Here is a 16,639-nt window from a genome sequence, read left to right on the forward strand (position 1 = left end):
CATCTGTACACTTTAAAAGGCTGAATTTTATGGTAGGTGAATCACAACGCACTTTGTTAAAATGCAGTCCACCGGGATAAAAATAACTAAGAGGATGGGCGTCCCGTGAAGGCTTCTGAGTTGGGGAACACTGCTGAGAAGCTCGAGACATCACACCGGCTCAGTCAGCAGTGGGGACGCAAGGCAGAGCTCTGGGCCCGGCGTCCTCTGCACCCTCTTTATTCTCAGCCCTTTCCCCAGCAGCCTAAGCTCGCAGGTGTACGGCCACACCCTCAGTCCTGGTGAGAGGGGACAGACCAAGGGGCTCGAGGTGCTGCAGAGTGCCGTCTCTCCCCAGCCTGCCTGCAGTGCCGGACGGCTCACACGGGTGGCACCAGGCTCCGCAAGCTCCGGGGACAGGCGCCTCCTGGGAGTCGGGGCCCAGCTAGTAACACAGTTGGCAGCGGCAGCTCCTGCGGCCGCCCAGGAGTCCCAAGTGCACCTGCATGGGAAGGAGCCTCCAGAACCACGAGTCCGGTCAGAGCAGACAAGTGAACATGAACAGGTTCCCGATCCAAGGCCAGCGGGTGTGGCCGACAGTGACCTTGTGTGGGGAAAGCCCTGATCTCAGAAAAGTGGGTCTCTGCCCCAGCCCCAGGCGGGGAGGTGTGACCTGTCTGGGCCAGGCTAGGGCTCCCTCCCCTTGTCCGAGGGGACATGTGACAGGCTTGGGTAAGGACATGGAAGGGAGGGCGGCCTAGGGAGGGCTTTCCTTCCCAAGTCATAAACAAAACTGCAGGGACAAAGTTTCTCACCACCTCTCTTTGTCCTGCCAAAACGCGAGAGGTGGTGCCTGTGGGGGCGGCTTCCACCACAGGACTATGTGGAGGGATGCCAGGCCCTGGCGCCTCTTGCCTTCTTGTCCTGTAAGAAGACCAGCCCCTACAGGAAGCCCCTGCTACACAGCTGGTCCGAGCAACTGAATGTATCCCTAACCGACACGCCCCCCGCCAAGTCCACACTTCCCCTACGCAGCTTTCCTTGAGGACTCAAATGTGGCCACGTGCCCCTCCTCTGTGGCCCCTGCCTTTAAGGAGACACTTGTCCCAGTGGGTCCCTGCCAAACTGGGAACCTGGGGCTGTGAGGACTCCTCTCCTGTCTTCCCCCGAGGTACGCAGCTGGCCTAGTTCCAAGTGAGCCAACTGAGTGAGATGCTAGGGCAGACTGGAGGGGGGATGGTCCAGCAGCAGGGGTGGGAGGGGCTGGGAAGGCTCCCTGGAGGCTGTGGTGGGGCTGAAGGATGGCCAGGAGCTGGTTGGCTCAAGAAGGGTAAGAGGTGGACGGGTGCCCAGGCTGGACCGCCAGGAGCACGCGTGGCCTCACACAGGAAACAGTGGCATGGACTGCGGTGTCCTCGCGGGACCCCCGGGCTCCAGCACAGCTGTGGTGGAGACAGGTGGTGACGCCGACCCTGGGGAGAAGGGCCTTGGCCGCCCCTGCGGAGGGGGAGCCCTGTCCGGAGGTGGAGGAGGGTTTTCAGCTCAGGAACAACGGTCACATCCATGTCTCAGGAAGCCACACCCTCCGGCCTATGGCGCAAAGGCACTTCTGGGCACAGGGCTGGCTGGAACCTGGCAGATAAAGGGGAACGAGGTGGGGGAGGAGAGCTCTTGTCCTGCCTTTCCTACAGAAGTGACACCACTAGGTGAACCCGGAGAAGGCAAGCAGCTAACCTGCACAGACTGTCCTAGCTGACCCAAGAAGGACCACGAGAGCATCCTAGCACCTCACCATCCACTTGGCCGACAGCAGAGACGTGGGCAGCCACACAGAGAGACCAAGCCTCCAGATTCAGGCCCCCAAGACACGGACACACGAGTCAGAGGGCGATCCTGAGTGCCACTGCATGTCCACAAGCAGCAAAAACCAGATGGTACCAAGCTCTGTGGGACACATGGTCCTGACTCTTCACCAAATACATAGCAAAGCAAAAAAAGAGTGCTTGAATGAAAAGGGGGCGGGAGAATCTAGAAAGGAATTTAAGAGACAAACCAAAGAATCACAGCGTGTGGATCTCATCAATGTCCTGATTCAAACAAACAAACAAAAAAAAAAAACAAGACTTTAAACACTGGCATATTGAGAGACTAAGGGATTATTAATCATCAATTAATATAACCAAGTAACATGGTAACATAAGAGATGACTAATTCATGGGTATGGTCCTGGTAGCACTGTCTTGTTAGAGGCCCCTTTTGAAATATTTACACATGAAATGAGGATGTCTGGGATTTGCTCCAGAATGACCAGGAGGGCAGCGCAGGCTGGAACGGGCTTGGCTGTGCAGGGACCACCTTTGGGTGGGTGACGGCTACGAGGGGGTTTGTTGCATCTGCCTCTGTAAATGCTTCCAACTTTCCCTGGTAACTTCTGAGTGGACGCTGGCAGCACGGCTGTGCAGAGGATGAACGTGGCTGGGGGGCATCCTCGTGCAGAAAGCCTGGGGCCTGAGGGACACCAGCAGGAGCCTGGCCACGGTCCTGCCTCCTAGGCCTCAGGTTCCTCACGGGCAGCATGGGGGGATTCGCTGCAATGCCACAGCCACAGTGCTCAGCACCCTGCCTATCACCCACAGAAGCCGTGAGTGCCCCCACAAAGCAGCCTGGGCTAAGAAGGGCACCTGGGGAGGCGCAGCCAGACGGTACCAAAGCACTGGGATGCCCCAGGGACGCTCCCTAGCTCTGCCCACTGCCTGGCACAGGGCACCCTGGGGCTCGGAACTGGGTCCTCTCCTCTCCACACTCCTGGCCACAGCTGTGCACCCTGGCTGCACAGCGAGTCCAGCCGCTTCTCCCAAGCTCCTCAGCCAGCCCCTCTCTCCTGGACCACCTGCCTCCTAACCGTCACCCGCTTCCACCACAGCCCCCTTTCAGGCACGGTATCTCCATGGGCTCAGGGCTCACCCTAGCCCACCAATGGCCTCGATGAGCCTGGAGGAGGCTCCACATCCTCGGTGCAGCCAGAGGGACATGCTGCCTTCTTCCACGCCTCCTCCACCCAGCTCACCCCTTCCTGACCCCCACCCGCCCTTATCCCGGCCTGCTGCTGTCCCCAGGCACAGAGCACAGCTCACTCTCTGCCAGCTCTCCTTACAGTCCAAAGCATGTCTGTCTTCTGTCCCAGCATCCCACTGACCCATGAACACCACACACAATGGGACTGTCCTGTTTTGTTCCTGATGGGCCTGGTGCTGGACTAGCACCCTGTCTGCTGAACATCCCTAAATACTCATGTATCCACCAAAAATGCCACAGGCGCCTACCATAAGATCCCAGCAGGGATCACAAGAGAGAAGAGGTCTCTAATCTTACGGATAGTCAGAGCACAAAGGCGAAACAGCCACGCAGCAGTGACACCAGTGTGACACCAACTGTACCGTGTCACAGTGTCTGCAGAGCGCTGATGGTGACCAGGCACTTTCTAAGCACTCAGCGGATACGAATGCTTCACAGCCCCAAACCCAGGGGTTCCTGGTGTCCCCCCGTCACAGATGAAGATGCTGAATCAGACAGGGGATCTGGGCAGCAGCAGAGCCAGCGCACCCCGGCAGAGGTTCTTGGGAAGCCCCAGGTCTTGGAGAGGTTCCTGTTGCCCACACAAACCAAACAGGGAAGGCAGCCACGACGAGGAGACCCGGCATGTTCACAACTGCAGAGAGGGGCAGCACCGAAAAGCAAGGAAGGCACCCCCTGCCGGCCAGGTAGAGGTCACGCCCCGAAGCACCCTGCGGCCAGCACCCTGGGATTGAGATTGGCTGCTGGAAGCGGCCAGTGAGTCACGGGCACTGGGAATGACTAAACGGCATGCCCTCTACACGAGACCTGGGCCTACAAAGCTTAGGAGCATCCCAGGGGGCTGCGGACCCCTTCCTGGCTACCCCTGGAAACCAGCCTCCTGGGAGATGTTGGGATAGCAGCTCCTTCATGCCCCTGAGGCCTGGCAGCAGGCTCCGTGAGCAATGGCAAAGTCAAAGGTGGCTGGCCAACCAGCCCAGGTGGGACACCCTTAGCGACTCCAGCCGGACTGTGCTGTGACCCACTAATGTCAGTAGCCTCCTAGAGTCACGTGTTCTTGGGCCGGGCCAGGTCGCGAGCAGCTCCCCACTCCCAGGCTGCTGGCCACGAGCCAGCGTCTCTCTGGCCTCGGGAAACTAAGATGCAGACGAACTGGCCAAACAGGTGCCTGTGCCAAAGGCTGCAGCATGCACCATCCCGTGCCCGGGGTGGGGAGTCCAGGCAGCGAGCCCGCCACGCCTGCTGGTGCTCCTTGGGATGAGGATCACAGGCGCCGAGTGGCCAGGCTGGCCTTGGCACGAGGCACAGCAAGGCAAAGGCCCTGTGGCCGGCGGGCCATGCGTGGAGCGCCTGCTGCTGCCACCACCTCTGAGAGGCCACACTCCCTCTGCCCCACACCCCACCTGGAGGACACCCAGCCTTCCCTCCCAATCCTGGATGTGAGGGGAGAGCAACCAGCCCTCCTGCAAGGTCTTCCCGCTCCTGCCGACCCTGGCTGTCTCCTGGCCATCTCTGCCCCGCCAAGCTTGTCCAGCGGCTGCTCAGCATTCCCCTCTGAGGCCCCAGGGTTCACAGACACATGCTGGGCTTAAAAAAACATTTTGGCCAGGCGCGGTGGCTCACGCCTGTAATCCCATCACTTTGGGAGGCCGAGGCAGGTGGATCACAAGGTCAGGAGATCGAGACCATCCTGGCTAACACAGTGAAACCCCATCTCTACTAAAAATACAAAAAAAAAAAAAAAAAATTAGCTGGGCGTGGTGGCGGACGCCTGTAGTCCCAGCTACTCGGGAGGCTGAGGCAGGAGAATGGCATGAACCCAGGAGGCGGAGCTTGCAATGATGGAGATTGAGCCACTCCAGCCTGGGCGACTAAGTGAGACTCTTGTCTCAAAAAAAAAAAAAAAAAAAGATGCTTAAGAGACGAAGCAATCAAGAGAAATGCTTGGGCCTGGCACAATGGCTCATGCCTGCAATCCCGGCACTTTGGGAGGCTGAAGTGGGAGGATCGCTTTGAGGTCGGAAGTTTGAGTCCAGCCTCATGCACACAGTGAGATCTCATCTCTACAAAAAAAATTTTTTTTAATTAGCTGAGTGTAGTAGTGCACCTGTAGCACCAGCTACTCAGGAGGCTGAGGCAGAAGGATCCCTTAAGCCCAGGAGTTCGAGGTTGCAATGAGCTATGATCAGGCCACTGCATGCAACCTAGGCAAGAGTGAGACCCTGACTTAAAGAGGGAAAGACAGAGAGAAGCTCCAACCTTACTTGAATCCTGACATGAACACGTTAATTTTAAAAGACGTATGTCCACACACACAGAGCTTCCCTCAGTTTTTGCAGGGAACTAGCTGCAGGCTCTAGAGAGCTGACTGTGTGTGTGAGAGATGATAGGGGAAACTGATGGTATTGGGCATGTGATAATGTTAAAGAATTACTAATTTACCAATTTCTAGCCAGAATGATATTGTGGTTAGGGTTTTTGTTTTAAGAATCTTATCTTACAGGCACAGCAGGAAATATTAGCAGATTAGTAGACGTGATGTCTAGGACCTGATTCAAAACAACCCTTGCGGGGAGAGAGGAGAAAGCACCCCATGCAGGCTGGCGGCTGTGGGAGCCGGAGGTGGGGGGCGGCTGCTCTGCCATTCTCTCTGCTTCTGTGTATGCTTTTTACGTCATCTATATTAGAAAGGAGAATTAAATAGATAAGCTTGGCTTGGCCCCCAGCCTGCCTCACAGCTCTCAATTTGAATTCAACACCACCTGTGTCCCTTCCACCCTGCCCCTGTCCTGGAGCTGGGAAGACAGTGGGGAACCAGGCAAGTCCCCGCCATGGAGCCCAGATGGAGCCCTCCGCCAGGGCCTTCTCCAGCCAGCAGCAAACACCTTCTCCGCCAGGGCCTTCTCCGGCCAGCAGCAAACGCCTTCTCCACCAGGGCCTTCTCCGGCCAGCAGCCAAACGCCTCCTCCGCCAGGGCCTTCTCCGGCCAGCAGCAAACGCCTTGCTCTGCTTCAGGCGGCTACCTTGGAACTAGGCAGCGAGCCCTGTGGGGCTGGGTGTGGGGCCACAGGCCTTACCCCGCCACGCCTTAGTCAGTCCACACCAACACTCCAGGAGGGCATCACTCTCTCACCAGCTGCTAGGAGAGGAAGCTCAGGTTTCGTGGCATCTGGCCATTTACCGAAGCCTCACAGAACCAGTAAGTGCCAAACCCACTAGTCCACACATGAAAAGCCTCTCGCGTCCACAGAGCCCTGCCCCTCCTCTGGACACAGCTGTAAGGCACTAGGCTCTCGCGTTCACCGGTCCACGGCATACTGGAATGGGGCTGACACACAGTCCGGCAAGAAAGCAAGGGAAGACAGAAATGTGGAAAAAAGACGCCCAAGAGGCAAACAACCTCATCCCTGAAATCCCACGTCCAGGATGCGATCCGACCGAAATACCCACAGAGTATAAACCAACGTACGAGGGGTCACCGAGGCACCCCTGCAGAGGGAGACCCGGAGATGCCAAATGTCCCCCCTAGTCAGATAAATGACAGCTGACACAAATGCCAGGGAACACGACATGGACCCTGGCCAGAACCAGGCACAGCGGCCTGTGCTGACGCCGGAGGGCCACGGGCAGGGAGTTCAGAGGTGTGAGTCACACTCACGCCCACACATGCACACACGCATGCGTACACACACCCACACTTACCCACATGCACACCTGTGTACTCACACATGCACATGCACACACCCACCCACACACCCATGTACACACACTCATACACGTCCATACTCATCCCTCACCTACCTGTGTACAAACACACACACAAACACACCCGTGTACACACACACCCCCACACTCATACACTCAGACTTACACACACACCTATGTACATATACACACCCACTCACATCCACACACCTGTACACATACACACTCACATGCACACTCAGACTCACGCACACAGAGAACTGTTTTGGCAGGACAAACATTGCTTATCATGGAGAGGATTTCAATTCCTTGTAATCTGCATATATCACCTTGGCTTTGTCATCAAAAGAAAAACTTTTTTTTTTTTAAGGCTTAGGTAAAACAGCACCATGTGGGCTGAAAACCTCTGACCAGGAGTCAGAGGACTCCTGGATGCTGAAGCGGCTCAGCACTGGCTCACTGTGTGACCCTGGACGGGCTGCTGCACCTCTCTGAGCCTCAGAGAGAGGCAGGAATCAAACAGGAAAGAGGCAGAAAGGCCACCGGTGCCTCTGGCTGGGAGGACAGTGTGGGCAGCATTAGCCCAGGCCCCTTCACGCCTGCCTGACCGCTCAGCCTGGGAGGCCAGGGAGACCCCAGAGGCCCCGCCCCCTCCCACACATGTGCTCAGGGCCTGCAGCCCCATGTGAAACAGCGAAAGCCAGCCACCTACAGGCCTGCCTGGAAGAGGCTGGCCCTGGTCAGGGGAGGCGGGGGAGTTTTCTTCTTGTACCCCTGAACTTCAAACTCCACTGTGGAGCACGCTGCCGCCACTGGAAGGAGCTCGACAGACACAGCAGGTGACGCAGAGGGCGGGCTCCAAGCGGAGCTGGCACCCGGCGCAGGTGACGTTGCCCATCTGTGCTCAGCGTCCTCACCTGTGAAGTGGGAAAGGCAGAACCCACCCCATATACAGGCACTCAAGTGCTACTCCTCATCACACGCTGGCCCAGAGACCCCCGGGATACACCGTTGGGAGAAGAAAGCAAACCACGAGACTGAGAGCACCACGGAACCCTACAGCTCTCAGATTCAAAAGCGCTGTGGGGGTGATGTCAGACGCACAGGGAGAGACTGGACCCCACACTCAGCTACGAACCTCCCGAGACAGCAGGAGAATTCAGGGGCAGAGGGAAGGAAAAGGGAGGAGCTCCAGTTCCTACCCTGCGTCCTTCTGTGCTTCGCATTTCCGATAACCAGAATCAATTCCTGCATCGATGAGCAATTAGAAACCAAAAGGAGGAGGCAGAAATGCAGACACCACATTTTAAAATGCTCTCCATGGAAACAGACGTTTTTAGACTTAAAGTTTGGCTTCTATTAACTGGAAGCCAAACTTAATGATTTCTCCTCAGTCTGACACCAGAAAAGGCAGAAAGCAGCCAGCAACGTAAACACCTGTAAAATGGCAGTTTGAAATCTGGACCATAACAAATGAAGACAGGAGGAGGTATCCCCAAGATGAGCCCATGAAAGTCACCGGCCCAATGCTGCCAGGCTGAGAGCAGCTGAGCTGAGACCTGCGAGTGGTCAGTCCCGGGGCCTCCTGCCTCCCTCATGCCCAGTATGAGGACAGCCTCTCTCTACCCTGAACTGAGGCCGCCGGAACCCACAGCTCCTAGACCCCCGCCCCATCCCGAGAGCCCGTGTCCCCCAAGCCACTGCCAGGCAGAGTCCAGCTGGAGGCAGGGTCCATTCAGGGCTCCAGGGCGCCAGGCCCCTAGCACCCCCGCTGGACAGCACCTTCCCTGCTCTGGGAGCCACAGGGCAGATGCCTTCGTCCTGTACAGGAGGCACAAACAGTCGGAAAGATGGCCTCAGAGAAGCCAGGAAAGAATTTTATCAGGTACATGCCGAGATAGGAAATTGGGGAACATAATGGGCGCTTTCAATGCCCAGCCAATTCTTCCAGCCCCTTCTCTAGGGACCCAGGAGAAGGCATTCTGGGCCTCTGGGCCGTCCCACCGTCCCAGCCTTGGAGGTCCTGGGGTGGCCGTGGCGGGCGCAGGGTTGCGCAGCACCTCCTCTCTCCCTGCAGCGATGGGCACCTTCGTTCTTTCCTTGTGCTTCTCTGCCCGGCTCCAGACCCGCCCTCTAGGAAACACAGATGCATCTGGGGACCCACTTCAGGGAACAGAAGGATGCTCTGGGGAAAGACAGACTGCGCCACAGCTGGCACGCATCCATGCGGCTTGTCACAACGCGGCAGCTCGGCCCTGCCCTGGGTCCCCGCACACAATGTGGCTTCTGTTCTGGCTCCCTCGGCAATCCACCAGCCAAGGCCTCCCCCTCGGCCACATCAACCGGCCGATTGTCCCTGGCGGAGCGCTCTATGGGCTCACCAGAGGGGCTGCCCGCCTCCTGAACTCTGCAAGGCCCTGGGAGCCTGGGAGCCAGGGAGGGAGTTGCTTGCAGAAGCGTTGCTCCGCTTCTGCGCCAGCAGGTCAGGGGCAAGGGGAGAAGACAATGGGGGCTCAGAGGGGGCTCCCTGCCTCCCAGCCTCCCTGCCTCAAGACCTGCTCTCCCCAGTCTCAAACTGAGCGCACGCAGGGGCAGCCCAAGTGGAACCCATATAGGGCAGCATTTGCAGCTAAGAGCCATCTCCACTCTACAGAGGGTGGCGGCTATGGAGGGCACCCCGGCTTGGTGTCCTTGGAACCTCCCCTGTCATGTGCGACTGCCTAGGGCCCCCCAACACAAGCCACCCAGGATGTGTCAGGAAGATGCCTCTGAGGGTCTTAAGGCTATGAGGCCAGTGCGGTTTAACTTACTTTTAAAACTCTCCACGTAATGCCCTTCCTGTGCCCTCGGACATCTGCGTGTGGGAGGCCACGGTGGACTGGTGATGGCTGTGGCTCCCTGTCCAATGACAGCTTGTTGCAGGGGTTGGGGAGGAGGTCTAATATTAGTGGCAAATAACCAAAATAAACTTCTTTTTCACACTTGGCCATTTCTAACACTGGACTGTCTCTCACAATCAGTGTGTACCCCTCATGTGCTTTCTCTCCTGCTCTCAGGACGGGTTCCTTCAATTGAAGTCACGGGAGACTTAGACTGAAGGAAGAGGAATCTGGCGTCAGGGGCAGGGCAAGTTTTACCGCCCCAAACAGCCACACTCCCCTTTCCTGGTGCTGTTGGTACCGGGTTCAATAGAAACAAGTGCCCCGGCCAGCATCCCCTCATGTGACTGCATCTACAGGGCACCTGGGGGGCTGCGAGCCGACACCGGCCACAGGAGAGGAAAGCAGGCCACTGTCATCTCAGATGACCCCTCTCCCCATCTGACAGCAGCTCTCTCTGCCCCTCTCGGTTTTGCCAAGCACACCAAGCCAGAAACGCAGGACTACTTGGCAGCCAGCACTGGCATGAAAGCGACAAAGGTGAGAGCTAAAAGGATTGCCAAGGAAATTAAGTCACATCAAATGATGCCTCAGAGAAGAGCTCCTGAGTCCAGCTGCTGATCTTGGCTAATGCCTCAAAACAAAGCAAGACAAAAATCAACCATGCTAAAGTCTGCTGGGAACGTAAAGCGGGAACGTGGCGGGGTCACCAAGCGGTAAAGCTGAAAGAGACCCCGAGAGCCAGTCCCAGCCCGAGCAGGGCCATGCATGTCAGTGGGGGCCCCCACCCCGGGAAGGCTCGGGGAGGCCGGCAGCCCCCGGCCCCTGCCCTGCCCAGGACCAGGGCATCAAAGCCTCCCAGGTCAGCTCTGCAGCCCCTCCCGAGGCCCTCACCCTGCCTCCTAACTGACTCCAGGGCACAGACAAGCACTTCCTGTTTGGCAGCCACTGAATTCCTTCTGGGAGAGATGGAGCCAGGTCTGCATTATAATGTCACTGACCTACTCCAGAACATCATGGGACAGGCGTGGGACAGGCACCTGGCTGGGGCTTCTGAAGCCACGGCCACAGAGCTTACGCCCAAAGAGGCAGGTGAACCCAGAGGACTCGACCCCTTATGCAGGATCTAACAGCAAATGCCACCATGTCACCCCCAGCGGATGAGCAGCTCTGCCCACCCAGCTCACCTCCCTCACACTCGCCCCAGCCCCGCTTCATCACCTGGACTCTGCCTTTCAAACAGCTGCCCCTCCCCCTAGAAGGGACCACCCCATCCTCTCAGCCTCACATAAGAAGAAGTCAATCGGCCGGGCACGGTGGCTCACGCCTGTAATCCCAGCACTTTGGGAGACCGAGGCAGGTGGATCACGAGGTCAGGAAACCGAGACCATCCTGGCTAACACGGTGAAACCCCCTCTCTACTAAAAATACAAAAAAATTAGCCAGGCATGGTGGCGGGCGCCTGTAGTCCCAGCCACTCGGGAGGCTGAGGTAGGAGAAAGGTGTGAACCCAGGAGGCAGGGCTTGCAGTGAGCCGAGATCACGCCACTGCACTCCAGCCTGGGTGACAGAGCAAGACTCCACCTCAAAAAAAAAAAAAAAAAAAAAAGAAGTCAATCTCGCTTCTTAAGAGAACCCAACCGACCCTTTCTAACTGGGTCCCCGTGACACACTCATAGCACCCAGCCCCTGGGCTTCCTGGAACTCATTCTGATGGGTCACTTCCTCTCCCGTGTGTCTGCCGTCTCTTGCCCTGTCAGTCTGTGAACTCCACAAGAGAGGGGAACGTGTTCACTTGGTCTTCACTGGGCCTAGACTTGGTAAATATCTGACACATGAAGAAATCCATGAAACTCCAGCAAAGAATGGAAGAAAAGCAATTCCTCCTCCTCACTGTAAACGAACATTAAAAAAAAAAAAACCCTCATTTGCGAAGAATAAATGACAAGGGCCTCCCTTACTAGATACCCACTACCCTTTGACAGTCTCCCCCGCCTCTCTCAACAGTGGGCTTGGTGCATGCCGCCAGCGGACAGCGAAAACAGAGGCATGGGCCTCAAGTGTGGCAAAGGGTTTCAGACACAAAACCAGAAGCACTCGCCAGAAAAACAACAGTAAGACGTCCATCAAAATAAAAAACGTTTGCTAGACAAAAATATACTATTAAGAGAATGAGAAGATAAGCCACAGACTTGGAGAAAATATTTGCAACTCATATACCAAGTACAGGACTTGTATCCAGAGTATATACAGAACTCTTAAAACTCAACAACAAGAAAACAGCTAACCCAATTTTTTTTAATGAGAGGGAAGGGCAAAATTCTGAACAGATACTTTACCAAAGAGAATATATGGGTTGCAAATAAGCACATGAAAACGATGCTCATTACCGTCGGCCGTCAGGGAGATGCAAATCAAAACCTAACCAGGTACCACTTCACACCCACTAGGACAGACGGCTATAATCAAAAAGGCAGAAAATGAGTTGCTGGTGAGGATGTAGAAAAATCAGAACCCTCATACCCGGCTGGGGGGGAATGTAAAATGGCACAGCTGCTGAAAAACAGTCTGGCAGTTACTCAAAAAGTTAAATAAAGAACGGGGCCAGGTGTGTTGGCTCACGCCTATAATCTCAACACTCTGGGAGGCTGAGGCAGGAGGATCACTTGAGGCTGGGGGTTTGAGCTCAGCCTTAGCAACATAGTGAGACTCTCTAACAAAAAAAAATTTTTTTAAATCTTTTCTTTTTTTCCTTTCTTTCTTTCTTTCTTTCTTTCTTCCATCTTTCCTTTCTTTCTTTCTTTTTTTTTTTTTTTAAAGAGATGGGGTTTCACCATGTTGCCCAGGCTGGTCTCAACCTCCTGAGCTCAAACAATCCTTCCACCTCGGCCTCCCAAAGTGCTGGGATTACAGGTATAAGCCGCCGTGCCCAGCCCTTAAAAAAGTTTTTTTAATAACTCACCGGATGTGAGGGCCGGGCACAGTGGCTCACGCCTGTAAACTCAGCACTTTGGGAGGCCGAGGTGGGCGGATCACGAGGTCAGGAGATCGAGACCATCCTGGCTAACATGGTGAAACCCCGTCTCTACTAAAAATACAAAAAAATTAGCCGGGCATGCTGGCAGGCACCTGTAGTCCCAGCTACTTGGGAGGCTGAGGCAGGAGAATGGCATGAACACGGGAGGCAGAGTTTGCAGTGAGCCAAGATTGTGCCACTGCACTCCAGCCTCGGCGACAGAGCGAGACTCCGTCTCAAAAAATAAACAAATAAAATTTTTTTTTAAAAAGAAAAACTCACTGGGTGTGGTGGCATGCACCTGTAGTCCCAGCTACTTGGGAGGCTAAGGCAGGAGGACTGCTTAAGTCCAGGAGACAGAGCTGTGTGAGCTGTGACTGCACCACTGCACCCCATCCAGCCTAAGCGACACAGTAAGGCCCTGTCTCAAAACAGACAAACAAAAAACCCAAAAAGTTGGCCGGTCACAGTGGCTCATGCCTGTAATCCCAGCTACTTGAGAGGCTGAGGCAGGAGAATCGCTTGAACTCAGGAGGTGGAGGTTGTAGTGGGCTGATATCGCACCTTTGCACTCCAGCCTGGGCAATAAGAGCAAAACTCCACCTCAAAAAGAAAATAAAAAGAAAACAAAGAGAAAAAAAAAAAAAGGAAAACAACCTGACCATATTCAAGGGCTGGCGAAGATTTGGAGCAACGGGAACTCTTCCTGCTGATGAGGCTGCAAAATGGCACAGCCCCTTTAGAAGAAAACCACTGGGCAGTTTCTTAAAAAGTTAAATAGACCCATATCATGTGACCTAGCAATCTCCACTCATTTACCCAAATGAACTGAAAACGTGGTCACACAAAAAACCCGTATGCAAATGTTTAGGGCAGCCTTATTCATAATCACAAGAGCTGGAAACAACACAGACGTCCTTCAACAGGTGAACGAATAAACAAACCGTAAGGCACCCATGCAGCGGAACACTCCTCGAAAAAACACAACAAAACACGAAGATTCATTCATATGGCAACATGGACAAATCTAAGTGCGCTTTGCTAAGTGAAAGAAACCAGATACAAAAGGGCTACATATTGTCTGAGTCTTATGACAATCTGGAAAAGGTAAACTACAAGAATGGCAAACAGATGAGCGGTTGTAAGGGCTGGGGGTGGGGAGGGGGACTGACTTCAAAGGGACAGCAAGTGGGAATCGGAGTGGGGGAGGCAGAGTCCCGGTAGATACACGACTCTCTGCATGTTGAACCCAGAGTAAACGTCACGGAATACAAATTAAGAAATCAGTAACTAATAACCGGATGGGCAGAGGGGGCAGACCCAAGATGAAATGCAACTGAGACTGACGAAGCTAACTGTATTACAAATGCATGACATGACCACCCCAGGGAAAGGGCTGCCACAAATAACCTTGTACCCTTGCAGCGTTCCTACTTGACAGAAAGAGCTGCACGCCAATGCTGAGCCCTAGCTGCCAACACAGGAGGGCTGGCTGTTGATGCTGAAACTACTTTCCGGGTATCCTGGAATTAAACGGGTAAACAAACACAGTACAGATATCGGGAGCCAGGTTTCCCCCTTCAGAGACAGCTACAAGGCAGCAACTGGGGAAGGCGTGAATGAGCCCGCTGGTGCTGGATGGAGTTGGCAGCCTCAGAGGAACGTACGTTTGTTTTCATATTACACAGATAGATACAGAACTAAACACAGATGTAAAGGGTGGGGGTGGTTTCCTAGCTCTGTCATATGAGAGAACCTAAACGCAGTGACAACTAAGCAGCAGTGAGCACACTTAGCTCCCAGATCTTGGCTTTTAAATACCATTTTCCAGCAACAGGAACTAAGGCTCCTGGGAGCAGCGGAAGATTCTAGGGCTGGGGCAGGGAAATACACGGTGAGCCTGTGGTGCCAGAATGTGAAAGCACCCCCAAAACCATGGGAACATGAAATGACAGGCCCGAATGCGAGAACAATTTCAATAACAAACAGGTAACAACAGACTGGATTATGACCCCAAAGAAAAACCAAATACCTATGAATCCATCCGTGTTGATACAAATAACTGAATACATAAATGGAAGAGAAGGGACGGCTCTTCCTTACTGAAAAATTCCAGTTAATAAATGTAGAAAGGAAGGAGGAAATTAAAACTACCAGTAGGCCACCACTGGGGGAGGCTAAAATTAGTGGGTGGTACTATGGGTTAAGTAGCCCTCATCCAAAATGCTTGGGATCAGAAATGTTTTGGATTTCAGATCTTTTTTTGGATTTTCAAATGTCTGCATTATTCTTACTGGTTCAGCATCCCTAATCTGAAAATCTGCAATTTAAAATGCTCCAGTGAGCAGTTCCTTTGAGTGTCCTGTTGGTGCTCAGAGTTTCAGATTTTGGAGCATTTTGGTGTTTTGTTTGTTTGTTTGTTTGTTTGTTTTTTGTGAGACAGAGTCTCACTCTGTGACCCAGGCTGGAGTGCAGTGGTGTGATCTCAGCTCACTGCAACCTCTTCCTCCTGGGCTTAAGCAATTCTTGTGCCTCAGCCTCCCAGGTAGCTGGAACTACAGGCGTGCGCCACCACGCCCTGCTAATTTTTGTATTTTTAGCAGAGACGGGGTGCCATGTTGGCCAGGCTGGTCTTGAACTCCTGACCTCAGGTGATTCACTCGCCTTCGCCTCCCAAAGTGCTGGGATTACAAGAATGAGCCACTGTGCCCAGCCTGAGATTTTGGAGCATTTTTTATTTTGGATTTCTGGATTAGGGATACTCCATCTGTATTTTTAAAAACAGACAAAACAAAACAGGTTATCTGCACAGCTTCAAAGTATCTCTCCCAAAATGGGTATTAGTAACTGTAGTGTTTTTAACCTACGCCCACCAGGATGGAGGGGTTAATTCCTCTCCCTTGAGTGTGGGCTGGACTTAGTGACCTGCTTCTTCTAAGCAACAACCAGTGGAGAAACCTGGCAGATGCCACTTAACCAGGAGATCAAGGTCAACCTCGGCTGTTAACCATGGATCATGTTAATATCTGGCACTTCCTAATATGATGGAAGAGGAAGTGCATTTACCTCTGTGGTCTTCTTATGGAACTCTATAGCCACGGACTAGCCATGAGAAAACGGCAAGTAGAGGGAGAGTCTACATAATACCCCACTAGCACATTTCAAAGATATCAAGGTCATGAAAGACTGAGGAAAGAGACACAGGCAACAGTGCAGCATCCTGGGGTGGGTTCCACAACAGAAAAAGAACATGAATTGAAAACTGGGAAACCCAAGGCAAGTCCCTAGTTTAGTTCACGGCGATTGTACTGATGCTACTGTCTTGGTTTTGATCACTGGACCATGGTTATGTGAGATGTTAACATTAAGGGAGGTTGGGTTGTGGGGGAGGTCCTATGGGAATTCTCTGTACTATCTTTGCAGCTCTTCTGTGTCTAAAATTATTTCCAAATTAAAAAAATCGTAACTATGAGAGATTCCCAGTCAGGAACCATACTCGGTTCAGTAACGAAGATTTTTATGCGTCTGGAGCAGCTTGGGTGTGTGAATCTACTTCTTTGTTCAACTGTGAATTTTATGGACTCTAAATACAGATCAAGCCTTTCTGATGACGTTTCCATATCCAAATTGAGACGTGCAGCAAGTATAATAAACAGACTGAATTTCAAAGACTTGGTATGAAAAAAGAATGTAAAATCTCTCAATACTTAAAAAATATTGATTACATGTTGAAATAATGTTTTAGATACACTGAGTTAACCCAATTACTAAAATTAATTTCACCTGTTTCTTTTGAACTTTTTTAACGCGGCTAAAAAATAATAATAATAATAATTAAGATTTCTACTGGACAGCCCGGGGTCTGAGATGTTACTCACTCACTAGAACAGGAAGGGCTTTAAATATCTCTGACCACTTCCAGGACAACAAACAGATACAAAGAGAGCATTTAAACAAGACTCCCTCATCTGACTGGGCCAAGTGC

The 16,639-nt window shown here is 53.3% G+C and overlaps 1 protein-coding gene across 6 annotated transcripts in view, besides 3 other annotated features; it reads right to left on the reverse strand.

Annotated features, from left to right (window-relative positions):
- Positions 1-16,639, reverse strand: part of MLLT1 (MLLT1 super elongation complex subunit) — a 69,595-nt gene that overhangs the window by 22,438 nt on the left and 30,518 nt on the right. The gene's annotated exons all lie outside the window — the stretch shown is intronic.
- Positions 180-474: a silencer, noted in NCBI's record as "tiled region #3427; HepG2 Repressive DNase matched - State 10:DNaseD, and K562 Repressive non-DNase unmatched - State 7:EnhWF". NCBI's record gives its function as "represses a minimal TATA promoter and a strong SV40 promoter by Sharpr-MPRA in HepG2 and K562 cells {active_cell/tissue: HepG2 | K562}" and the evidence as "EXISTENCE:reporter gene assay evidence [ECO:0000049][PMID:27701403]".
- Positions 7,032-7,533: an enhancer, noted in NCBI's record as "H3K4me1 hESC enhancer chr19:6239861-6240362 (GRCh37/hg19 assembly coordinates)". NCBI's record gives its function as "activates a minimal SCP1, AML or CMV promoter by ChIP-STARR-seq in naive H9 embryonic stem cells {active_cell/tissue: H9 hESC(naive)}" and the evidence as "EXISTENCE:reporter gene assay evidence [ECO:0000049][PMID:30033119]".
- Positions 10,681-11,395: an enhancer, noted in NCBI's record as "H3K4me1 hESC enhancer chr19:6243510-6244224 (GRCh37/hg19 assembly coordinates)". NCBI's record gives its function as "activates a minimal SCP1, AML or CMV promoter by ChIP-STARR-seq in naive H9 embryonic stem cells {active_cell/tissue: H9 hESC(naive)}" and the evidence as "EXISTENCE:reporter gene assay evidence [ECO:0000049][PMID:30033119]".

This window comes from Homo sapiens, chromosome 19 (genome assembly GCF_000001405.40).
Source record: "Homo sapiens chromosome 19, GRCh38.p14 Primary Assembly".
Taxonomy (NCBI): Eukaryota; Metazoa; Chordata; class Mammalia; order Primates; family Hominidae; genus Homo; species Homo sapiens.